The sequence below is a fragment of the Homo sapiens genome, chromosome 1, assembly GCF_000001405.40.
Source record: "Homo sapiens chromosome 1, GRCh38.p14 Primary Assembly".
NCBI classification, from domain to species: domain Eukaryota; kingdom Metazoa; phylum Chordata; class Mammalia; order Primates; family Hominidae; genus Homo; species Homo sapiens.
Window position 1 is genome coordinate 212,873,762 of NC_000001.11, and position 12,296 is coordinate 212,886,057.

Genomic DNA, 12,296 nt, shown 5'->3' on the forward strand with positions numbered 1-12,296 from the left:
TTCACATTTTTTGGGGAAACACACTCTAGTACATAAATGTTTTACAAGTTGTAACCAATTAAGTCCGGACCTAAACTATTTTTATCAGGATTAGTTCCTTTTTTTTTCAGTAGAAATTGCTAATCACCAAAGTTGAACATTTAATCTAATTCCTATATACCCATATCCTGTGTATGGCATCATCCAGCTTCAACAGTTATCAATATTTTGCCATTCTTGCTTCATCTATTTCCTCCAGTTTTTTTCCTGGAATGTATTTTTTTAAGACGGAGTTTTGCTCTTGTTGCCCAGACTGGAGTGCAGTGGCACAATCTCAGCTCATTGCAACCTCTGCCTCCCGGGTTCAAGCAATTCTCCTGCCTCAGCCTCCCAAGTAGCTGGGATTACAGGCCCCTGCAACCATGCCTGGCTAATTTTTCATATTTTTAGTAGAGAAGGGGTTTCACCATGTTGGCCAGGCTGGTCTCAAACTCCTGACCACAGGTGATCTGCCCGCCTTGGCCTCCGAAAGTGCGGGATTACAGGCGTGAGCCAAAATGCCCGGCCTTTCCTGGAATATTTTAAAGCAAATCCCAGGTGCCATATCTCATCCTTATATATTAATACTTTTGCATGACATAGTTCATTTTCTTAATTTTGCTGGTTATCTCCTTGTTTAGGTTAAACCTAAAATTCCTAATTAGATATAGAGAAAATATAGTGGCTTATTGTTAAATAGTAGAGCAAATTCATTTCTTTTGCCTGTCATTTAATTTTCTTTTTTTCTTTTTTTTTTTTTTTTTTTTGAGATGGAGTTTCTCTCTGTCACCCAGGTTGGAGGACAGTGGTATGATCTCGGCTCACTGCAACCTCCACCTCTCAGGTTCAAGCAATTCTCCTGCTTCAGCCTCCCTAGTAGCTGAGATTACAGGCACATGCCACCACGCCCAGCTAATTTTTGTTTTTTTAGTAGAGGCGGGGTTTCACCATGTTGACCAGGCTGGTCTCAAACTCCTGACCTTGTGATCTGCCTACCTTGGCCTCCCAAAATGTTGGGATTACAGGCGTGAGCCACTGCATCCGGCCTGGCTTTTTTCTTATCACTCTTTTATCACTCACTTTCCCAATACAAAATTCTCTTTCAGCCACACTTATAACCAACCCTGTCACAGACGTACACACACACACACACACACACACAGACACATCTCCACATGCATATACACTGTTAATTCTAGTCTCTGTAATTTTGTGCCAATATTTCTTTTACCGGAAATGTGCTTCTTTTTTCTGTAAGCAATCCTATAAGAGCTGGCTTAATGTTTGCCTCACTTATTGTTCATTTTCGTGTTCATTCTTTTATTTATTTATTCCATCAATAGCTATCAAATACCAACTAAATGTATAGTAGTGCTCTAGATGCCTTGTGGCTAGAAAGAGGCATGATATATGATTTCTGCCCATAGGAAATTGATCATCTAATTGGGGAGATAATATAAACATCTGAAAAGTAACAATATAGTCGGTATTTATCAAAAGGATAACAACACAAGATGAGTTGTATGGCAAGTGCATGCTGAAGCCCTTCATTGAGGCCTATCATTGAGAAAGGATAAATGAAGGGAAGCCCTAGGGATGGCCGGGAGAGTCTCACAGAAGGGAGTGGTTGAGCTGGGCCTTGAAGAGAGGGTTGGATTTGAATAGACAAAGGGGAGGAAGAAAATGGCACCAGCGAGGGTGTTAGATGGTGCCTTCAGTGAATACTCAGGTATCTGTGGAGTTTTGGTGTCTTTGATACCACATCACTTAATACTTACTGGGGCTGGGCACAGTGGCTCACTCCTGTAATCCCAACACTTTGGGAGGCCAAGGTGGGTGGATCACTTGAGGCCAGTTCAAGACCAGCCTGGCCAATGTGGCAAAACCCCATGTTTACTAAAAATACAAAAATTAGCTGGGCATGGTGGGTGCGCACCTATAGTCCTAGCTACTCGGGAGGCTGAGGCAGGAGAATCGCTTGAACCCAGGAGGCAAAGGTTGCAGTAAGCTGAGATCGTGCCACTGCACTCCAGCCTGGGTGACGGAGCAAGACTCCATCTGAGAAAAAAAAAAACAAAAAACTTGACTATACATAAAAATGATTAAGTTAATTGCAATCTCGGTTTTATTGGTCTCTCAGTCTGTCACCCAGGCTGGAGTGCAGTGGCGTGATCTTGGCTCACTGCAACCTCCACCTCGCAGGTTCAAGCAATTCTCCTGCCTCAGCTTCCCGAGTAGCTGAGACTACAGGTGTGTGCTACCACACTTGGCTGATATTTGTGTTTTTAGTAGAGATGGGGTTTTGCCATATTAGCCAGGTTGGTCTCGAATTCCTGACCTCAGGCATCACCTAGGTATTAAGCCTAGCATCCATTAGCTATTATTTCTGATGCTCTTCCTCCCCCAAACCCCAAAGGTCCCAATGTGTGTTATTTCCACCCCTCGTGCACCATGTGTCCATGTGTTCTCATCATTCCGCTCCCACTTATAAGTGAGAACATGTTGTGGTTGGTTTTCTGTTCTTGCCTTAGTTTGCTGAGAATAACTGCTTCCAGCTCCATCCATGTCCCTGCAAAGGACATGATCTCATTTCTTTTTTTTTTTTTTGAGATGGAGTTTCACTCCTATTGCCCAGGCTGGAGTGCACACAATCTCGGCTCACTGCAACCTCCGCCTCCCAGGTTCAGGTGATTCTCCTGCCTCAGCCTCCCGAGTAGCTGGGATTACAGGCAAGTGCCAACACGTCCAGCTAATTTTTGTATTTTTAGTAGAGACAGGGTTTCACCATGTTGGCTAGGCTGGTCTCGAACTCCTGACCTCAGGTGATTCACTGCCTCAGCCTCCCAAAGTGCCAAGATTACAGGTGTGAGCCACTGCGCCCGGCCTGATCTCATTTCTTTTTGGCTGCATAGTATTCCATGGTGTAAACATACCACATTTTCTTTATCCAGTCTATTATTGATGGGCATTTGGGTTGATTCCGTGTCTTTGCTATTGTGAAGAGTGCTGCAGTGAACATACACTTGCATGTATCTTTATAATAGAATGATTTATATTCCTTTGGGTGTGTACCCAGTAATGGGATTGGTGGGTCAAATGGTATTTCTCCTTCTATGTCTTGGAAATTGTCACACTGTCTTCTACAATGGTTGAATTAATTTGTACTCCCTCCAGCAGTGTAAAAGTGTTCCTTTTTCTCCACAACCTTGCCAGCATCTGTTGTTTCTTGACATTTTAATAATCGTCATTCTGACTGGCATGAAATGGTATCTCATTGTGGTTTTGATTTGCATTTCTCTAATTATCAGTGATGTTGAGCTTTTTTTTCATGTTTCTTGGCCACATAAATGTCTTTTTTTTTTTTTTTTTTTTTTGAGAGAGAGTCTCGCTCTGTCGCCCAGGCTGGAGTGCAGTGGCATGATCTTGGCTCACTGCAAGCTCTGCCTCCCGGGTTCACACCATTCTCCTGCCTCAGCCTCCTGTTGTTTATATTATATTTTAATATAAACAATAGATGTTTATATTATCTCCCCAATTAGATGATCAGTACTCCCTCCCGAGTAGCTGGGACTACAGGCACCCGCCACCACGCCCAGCTAATTTTTTGTAATTTTTAGTAGAGACGGGGTTTCACCGTGTTAGCCAGGATGGTCTCGATGTCCTGACCTCATGATCTGCCTGCCTCAGCCTCCCAAAGTGCTGGGATTACAGGCGTGAGCCACCGCGCCTGGCCATGAATGTCTTTTGAGAAGTGTTTGTTCATGTTCTTTGCCCACTTTTTAATGAGGTTTTTTTTTCTTGTAAATTTAAATTCCTTGTAGACTCTGGATAATTAGATCTTTGTCAGGTGGATAAATTGCAAACATTTTCTCCCATTCTGTAAGTTGTCTGTTCACTCTGATGATAGTTTTTTTTTTTTTTTTTGCTGTGCAGAAGCTCTTTAGTTTAATTAGGTGCCAATGAATGAACTTTCTGAACCTGATAAAGCTTATCTACAAAGACCCTATAGCAAATATTATACTAAAGGCAAAAGTTAGAGCCATTATCCTTAAGAATCAATAAGAAGTATCCTTAAGGATATTTATTGTCATCACTTCTGTTCAACATCTAACTGGAGGTCCTGGCTGGCTCAGTAACACAAGAAAGAAGAAAAGGTATACGAAACAGAAAAAAAGGTGTTATTGCTCATAGTATGATTCTGCATATCAGAGGTCAGCAAACCATGACCCATGAGCCAAATCTGGACATTGCCTGTTTTTATATTAAAGTTTTGTTTGACTACATATTGTCTATAGCTGCTTTTGAACTACCAGGGCAGAGTTGAGTAGTGACATTAGTTACATTAGAGACCGTATGTCCTACAAAGCTAACAAAGGTTTACTACCTGGTCCTTTACAGAAAATGTTTAGTGATCACCCATCTATTAAAATAATACAAGAGAGACCAGGCGCGGTGGCTCAGGCCTGTAATCCAAGAACTTTGGGAGGCCGAGGCGGGCGGATCACGAGGTCAGGAGATCGAGACCATCCTGGCTAACATGGTGAAACCCTGTCTCTTCTAAAAATACAAAAAATGAGCCGGGCATGGTGGTGGGTGCCTGTAGTCCCAGCTACTCGGGAGGCTGAGGCAGGAGAATGGCGTGAACCTGAGAGGTCCGCCTCTCAGTGAGAGGCACTTGCAGTAAGTCCGCTTGCAGTGAGCTGAGATCGCACCACTGCAACTCCAGCCTGGGCGACAGAGTGAGTCTCCGTCTCAAAAAAAAAAAAAAAAAAAAATACAAGAGAACCTAGAGACAACTATTAAAACTAATAAGAATGAGTTAGCAAAGTTACTAAATAGCTGACAATGTGAAAATATCAATTGCATTCCTATGTATATATAGGTATTGTATTCCTATGAAAAGATATCTTTTATAATAGCAACTAAAACTATAAAGATATCTTAGAATAAATACACCAAAAGAACTTCATAGAGAAAATTAGAAAACATTGAAAGGGATAAAGGGAGACCTGCATCCTAGGCAATGTGGCAAAACCTCATCTCTACAAAAAATACAAAAATTAGCCAGACACGGTGTTCTGTGCCTGTAGTCCCAGCTAGTTGTGGGGCTGAGATAGGAGGATTGCTTGAGCCCAGGAGGTCAAGGCTGCAGTGAGCTGTGTTTGTGCCACTGTACTGCAGTCTGGGTGACAAAGTGAGATCCTGTCTCAAAAAAAAAAAGACCTAAATAATTTATTTTTTCTCCAGCCACCTCTCCCCTAAATAATTTAAATGGAGGGATATACCATGTTATAAAAGATTTAAGATTATAAGGATGCCAGTTAATCCTTACAGGACCACTGTGTTATCAAATGCCAGTTGTAGATTTGGATTGATTTTTTAAAAACCAGATACAGAAACTGCTTAGGAAATTAAAGAGTTTATTTGTTGAAGGAATTATAAGGAGGAAGGAGTTGGGAAACACTGTGGAGAGTTCAACAGTATTTTCTGATAAAGTTCGAGTAGTTTCTCGACTTCATGTTCTTCACCAAAGGGGTCCAGAGTTAGGGATCATAATGTTTGCGTGAGGGTCACAGCATACCTTTTAGACATGTCCCTGTCCCCCTCCGTGCCTAATATGATATATATAAGCTTGGAGCAGTCTTGCTTGTGGGATACTCTGGATAAGGAATAATACTTCTAGAATAGAGCTTCGGGATCATATATGCAGTGTCCCAAACTCAGGACCCAAATGGACTAAGATAAAATTTTTTTTGGAAAAAAATTATCGGTAATAAAGTCTATAATATAAATAGATGTCTTTATAGACTCTGTTGACCAAGCTGGAGTGTAGTGGTGTGATCTCTGCTCACTGCAGCCTTCACCTCCTGGGTTCAAGCAATTCTTATGCCTCTGGCTCCGGAGTAGTTGAGACTACAGGGACGCACTACTATGCCCAGCTAATTTTTTGTATTTTTAGTAGAAATGGGGTTTTGCCATGTTGCCCAGGCTGGTCTCAAACTCCTGACCTCATGTGATCCATCCACCTTGGCCTCCCAAAGTGCTGGGATTACAGGCATGAGCCACCACACCCGGCCAAATTTTTTTTTTTTGAGGTTGCACTATTTGGAGAAAAGATGATTCCTTACTATCCCAACTGTTGCTGTTTGCTCTCTGAAACTTAGATACCATACTCTAGGTTCAGATAACATAGTATTTTTTTTTTTTGGCTGTTATAATTCTTCATCCAAATTTTTGCTATCCTTATTTCAGTATGTATTAGATTCAAAATCACCATAGGGTGCAGTGCAGTAGAGTACACTCAGGCCTGAGCACAGGCCTCATTTGTTATCCTCATCTTCCGCAGGCTAACCCAGCGTGGTCCACGTGCATTCTTGAGCTCAGTGGGAAGTTGAATAACAAAGGCCAGTTACCCAGGTGTTTTTGATAAGTGTTGTTAACAAGTTTTTAGACGAGCTATAGGTCTCATCCTTTAATCGCCAGTTTAAACAGGGATTGTAATGGAACAAACCAACTGTAAAAATTCCTGTGAGTGAAGTAAGGGCCAAGAACAGCAAAGATAATTTTGATGAAGAACATGGTGAGGGACTCATTCTTAGTTATCAAAATTTATAAATCTATGGTAATTAAGATGCCATGAGTAAGGGATAGACATCAGATCACTGGAACAGAATAGAGAGCCCAGAGACCTACCTTGGGTGTCACTTGACCTAGGCTAGCTTATATTAATCCTGCTGGCCAGGTGCAGTGGCACATGCCTGTAATTCCAGCACTTTGGTAGGACAAGGCAGGCAGATCACCTGAGGTCAGGAATTCAAGACCAGTGTGGCCAACATGGTGAAACCCGGTCTCTAATAAAAATACAAAAATTAGCCAGGTGTGTTGGTGGGCACCTGTAATCCCAGCTACTCAGGAGGCTGAGGCAGGAGAATCACTTGAGCCTGGCAGATGGAGGTTGCAGTGAGCCGAAACTGCTATTTCACTCCATCCTGAGCAACAGAGTGAGACTCTTTATTAAAAAAAAAAAAAAAAAAGAAGTCCTGCTAAAAAACTTCAGTGGCCTGAAACATGAAAAGTTTATTTCTTGCTAAAACTGCATGTCCAGTGTGAATTGACAGCTAGTTTCTGCTCATCAAAGTTACTCAAGGATACAGCCTGACATCTCTGTAAATGCTTCCATGATTACTAAGGCAGAAAACAGGGAATGTCACCTTTGCTTATATTTAAAGTCATGTTGCCATGCCTAGAAAAATAAAAACTAGAATATTTGCAAACTGCTCTAATAACTAGTACATTATACATATAGGAAAACTTGAGGTTTTGCAGAAGAGGAACTGTTTGGTAAATTGTCCCAGGATAATTGATTGTCCATATGGGAAAAATAAACTAAAATTAGAACTCTACATCATACCATGCATAAAAATGAATTATAGTAGAGACCAAAGAGTAAAAATAAGAACTTTAAAGTTTTAGGAACAAATATAGGAGACCATCTTTAGTATTCCCAAAGAATTTCTTTGTCTTTTTTTTTTTTTTTTTTGAGACAGAGTCTCACTCTGTCGAATTTCTTTTTTTTTGAGACAGAGTCTCGCTCTGTCACCCAGGCTGGAGTGCAGTGGCACAATCTCGGCTCACTGCAACCTCCACCTCCCGGATTCAAGCAATTCTCCTGCCTCAACCTCCCCAGTAGCTGGGACTACAGGCGCACACCACTGCGCCTGGCTAATTTTTGTATTTTTAGTAGAGACGGGGTTTCACCATGTTGGCCAGACTGGTCACGAACTCCTTGGCCAGACTGGTGTCGAACTCCTGACCTCGTGATCCACCTGCCTCAGCCTCCCAAAGTGTTGGGATTACACGCGTGAGCCACTGCGCCCAGCCAAGAATTTCTTAATGCAAAAAACATAAACCCTAAAGAAGTATATTGATAAATATGATTATATTAAAATAATCTTTTCTAGGAAGACATTATTGAAAAAGGGAAAAGACAGGACTTAGACTATGAGAAAATTGTCTGCAATGCATATAACCAACAAAGGATTAGTATTAGTTAAAAATAACTCCTACAAATCAGAAAGAGCAAACAATCCAAGGACACCAGAAGACATTTGTGTGTCTGTGTCTGTGTGTATTGTTCTTATGTGATATTCAGCCTTAACAGTAATCAAGGAAATACAAATCAAAGCCAGAGTAAGATGTAATATCACACACATTCACATTGGCAAAATAATTTAAAATCTGGTGAAAACAAATTTGGCAAGGATGTGGAGCAGTAGGAACTCTGCTGGTAGTATGAACGGATAACAACTACTTTGAAGAGCAAATTGCTTATATCTAGAAAGTAGAAGGTCTACTCTAGATATATACTTAGAGAAGCTCTTATGTATAAGAACAAAAACATAATACTCATTGCAGTCTTGTTTTAAACAGTGAAAAACTAAAAAAGAAACCCTTAAGTGTCTATTGACAGGACGAGATAATTAAATTGAAGTATATTAACATAATAGAATACTGTACAACAGAAAACTAATGAACTACAACAAAAAATATCAACATGGATACATCTCAAAACCATCTCAATATAGTGTAACAAGAGCAAGTTGCAGATGGATACAAATAATATTTATATACTTACAGAATACTTCTAATTGTTTATGAATATGCATATATGGTAATATATAAAATGATAAGCACCAAGCTCAAGCTAGGGCTTGACTTTGGTAAAGAATAGGATTGGGAAAAGTCTGAAAAATGAATCTGAAGCAAAGATGGAAAAATGTTAATGTTTGCCAAATCCGGGTGATATATGAGGATATTTGTTGTATTCTCTATGCTATTTTATATTCTTAAAATATTTAATAATAGATAAATAATAAACTTAAGTTTTAGCTTAATTTAGGTTAAGAGTCTTACCTAAATTCATACAATACATGCTAGGAGACATCAGGATTCAAACCTATCCTGTGCTTCTCATAGCCAGTTGTTTTTATTGTTCACTTCTAAAGTATCCTTTGGGAGGCGAGGCAGTAGAATTGCTTGAACCCAGGAGACGGAGGTTGTAGTGAGCTGAGATTGCACCACTACTCTCCAGCCTGGGCAACAGAGCAAGGCTCCATCTCAAAAAAAAAAGTATTAACTGATTTTGTCTTATGAATTTTCAGTAAGTCTTTGATACAAAAAGGTAAGATCTCTGAAGCACAGTTTCTGTTAGGCTTTGCACATTTGTTGGCTGTAGTAGTACATTGTAGGAATTCAGTAAACAATCCATTGCTTGACTGGTTGCCATATATGTGTTGCATGTGGGGGTATGATTTATGGTCAGTATATCTCAATCTAAATAATAATAGTATTAGGACAGAGTTCTGCTATTACATCTTTAGTACAGTTAGGTGTTAAATTCATTAGTCCAGGTTCTGAAAGGGAATGACAATGGTTTTTAATTTCCTTTATCAACTGTGTTAAGAAATGTATTTCCACAATTGTCACATAATATTCCATGTCACTTCATGAACTGGTAAATGACACACTTTTAGTATTCTCTTTATTATTGTAGGTATCATGACTTAATATCATCTTTATTTATTATTGTAGGTATCATGACTGGTGCCTTTTATTCAGTCTCAACGTTATTAAATCAAATGATATTGACATATTATGAGGTAAGCTTCTGCTTATATCAGATTGCATGCCTGGCCAAAAATTTTTCTTTAGCAATATAATTGTCGTTAGCAGGGTCATGAGATTAAGGGTTATGACATTGTTGCTATCAAATATTTACATTTGTTTTAATTGAGAATATATTTGTTAAAAAATGAAATTTCCACAACTTTATATATCTAATTGGCTTTTATTATCAATTCGTTTATTGGACAGCATCCCATCTAAAGATTTAGAAAGGTACTGATGAGCTGAGCAGAGGAGATGGGCTTTATAGGCAGAAAAAGGCTGAAGAAAGCAGAAACAAGGAACAAAGAGCAGATTGGTTGCTACAAAGTTACTTTCCTTATAGGAGTAAAACAAAGGGGACTGGGCCCCATCTGATAGGTTGCTATGAATCTCCTTTTTTTTTTTTTTTTGGAAAAGTGGCCCATTTTAAAGTTCAGTTTGATTATGTGACACCTAGCACTAGTGACACCATTCTATGTGGTCTGGTCTGTTGGGCCTACTGTGGGAGCTCACTCCAAAACAATGGCCTCCCATCATTTTAATTTAACATATTTAATCCAGTTTATAAAGCACATAGTATGGCCAGGCATAGTGGCTCACGCCTGTAATCCCAGCACTTTGGAAGGCCGAGGCGGGTGGATCACCTGAGGTCGAGACCAGCCTGACCGACATGGAGAAACCCTGTCTCTACCAAAAATACAAAATTAGCTGGGCATGGTGGCGCATGCCTGTAATTCCAGCTATTCGGGAGGCTGAGGCAGGAGAAACACTTGAGCCTGGGAGGTGGAGGTGGCGGTGAGCCGAGATCGTGCCATTGTATTCCATCCTGGGCAATAAGAGTGAATCCCCATTTAAAAAAAAAACAGGCTGGGCGCCGTGGCTCACACCTGTAATCCCAGCCAAGATAGCGCCACTGTACTCCAGCCTAGTGACAGAGTGAGACTCCATCTCAAAAAAACGAAACAAAACAAAATACACACACACACAATATGGAAAGCAGAAGTTACTATCCCTGTGACAATACCTAAGTTTATTTTTAGGAAATAATATGATTGGTTATATGGAAAAAGACAAAACATTTTAAGGGAACTCAGCATAAATATAGATAAATAAATATCAAGTTTTGATTGACGTATCTGCTTTTGAAAGGATAAAGCAGTTGTACTATGTAAAAGCTATCGATTAACCTCCTTTTCAGATATCTATACAGTGTCATACCTTGCTTAGTGACAGGAATACCTTCTGAGAAATTCGCTAGGCAATTTCATTGTTGTGTGAATATCATAGAGTGTACTTACGCAAACCTGATGGTAGAGCCTGCTACATACCTAGGCTACGTGGTATAGCCTATTGCTCCTAGGCTACAAACCTGTATAACATGTTATGCTACTGAATGTTGTAGGCAGTTGTAATACAATGGTAAGTATTGTGTATCTAAATATATCTAAACAGAGAAGGTAGAATAAAAATACAGTATTATAATCTTACAGGATCATACTGTATATATGATTCAGAGTTGACCTAAATGTAATTATGGAGCACATGACTATCTATACTTAAGAATCCTAACAAAAATCATTGTACTTCTAACCATAGAGGATTAAGGAAAATTTACCTTTTTTATTTCTTCTATTATTTTAGGCTTTTTTTCTGGTTTTAAAATATAATGCTTTTATATATTCTTTACCTGCCCTCCCCTCCCACACTGACACATGTACTAAATCTTCCTACTGTGTGCTTAGTTTTATCTAATTATTTTCATTGACTATGAAAAGGTGTGGGAATGTGAAGAGTCTGAATTAGTTAATCCATTTATTTGATCAACTTCTTACGCAAATTTTTTTCAGGGAGAAGAAGTCAATGCTGGAAGGATTGGGCTAACGCTAGTAGTAGCTGGAATGGTGGGCTCTATTCTTTGTGGCTTATGGCTGGATTATACTAAAACATACAAGTAAGTGAAAGTAAATACATGTATGGTGTATAACCAAAGGTATTTTGATTTTAAAGGACAATTTGCTTTTTATTTCAAGAAATTTAAAACATGTTATTACTTAAAGATACGGATTCTAAACACTAGTAGGTTCTCTTCACTTAACAAGTGTTTCTTTTTTTTTTTTTTTTTTGAGACGGAGTCTCGTTCTGTCGCCCAGGCTAGAGTGCAGTGGCGCAATCTCGGCTCACTGCAACCTCTGTCTCCCGGCTTCACGCCATTTTCCTGCCTCAGCCTCCCGAGTAGCTGGGACTACAGGCACCCGCCACCATGTCCGGCTAATTTTTTTATATTTTTAGTAGAGACGGGGTTTCACCTTGTTAGCCAGGATGGTCTCGATCTCCTGACCTTGTGATCCACCCGCCTCGACCTCCCAAAGTGCTGGGATTACAGGCGTGAGCCACCGCGCCCAGCAACAAGTGTTTCAATACTCTATGTATTGTATTATTTTATTGGTCACATTTATTTCAATTCTGAGAACTTGGATACCTTATGAGCCCCTTCTTTCTAACAGTACTCATACCTACCACTTCCGAAGGAATTATTTCTATTCTAAAAAGAGCCATTTCTGAGAAATATTTGACTTTTGATAGACTTTATCTTGTTCTTTTTTTTTTTTTTT

General features: G+C 39.7%; 1 protein-coding gene across 4 annotated transcripts in view; it reads left to right on the forward strand.

Annotated features, from left to right (window-relative positions):
• The window catches only part of FLVCR1 (FLVCR choline and heme transporter 1), a 41,089-nt gene that overhangs the window by 15,487 nt on the left and 13,306 nt on the right, over positions 1-12,296 (forward strand). For 3 of the 4 annotated variants that reach the window (XR_247024.4, XR_007059232.1, NM_014053.4), the window contains exons 4-5: positions 9,610-9,677; positions 11,532-11,635. Coding sequence is in view for 1 of the 4 variants with exons in the window: in NM_014053.4 (NP_054772.1) it covers positions 9,610-9,677; positions 11,532-11,635 (172 nt within the window). In the remaining 3 variants the exon portion in view is untranslated. Of the gene's footprint in view, positions 1-9,609; positions 9,678-11,531; positions 11,636-12,296 lie in introns of those variants that run through there. The other variant, XR_426771.2, reaches the window with a different exon arrangement.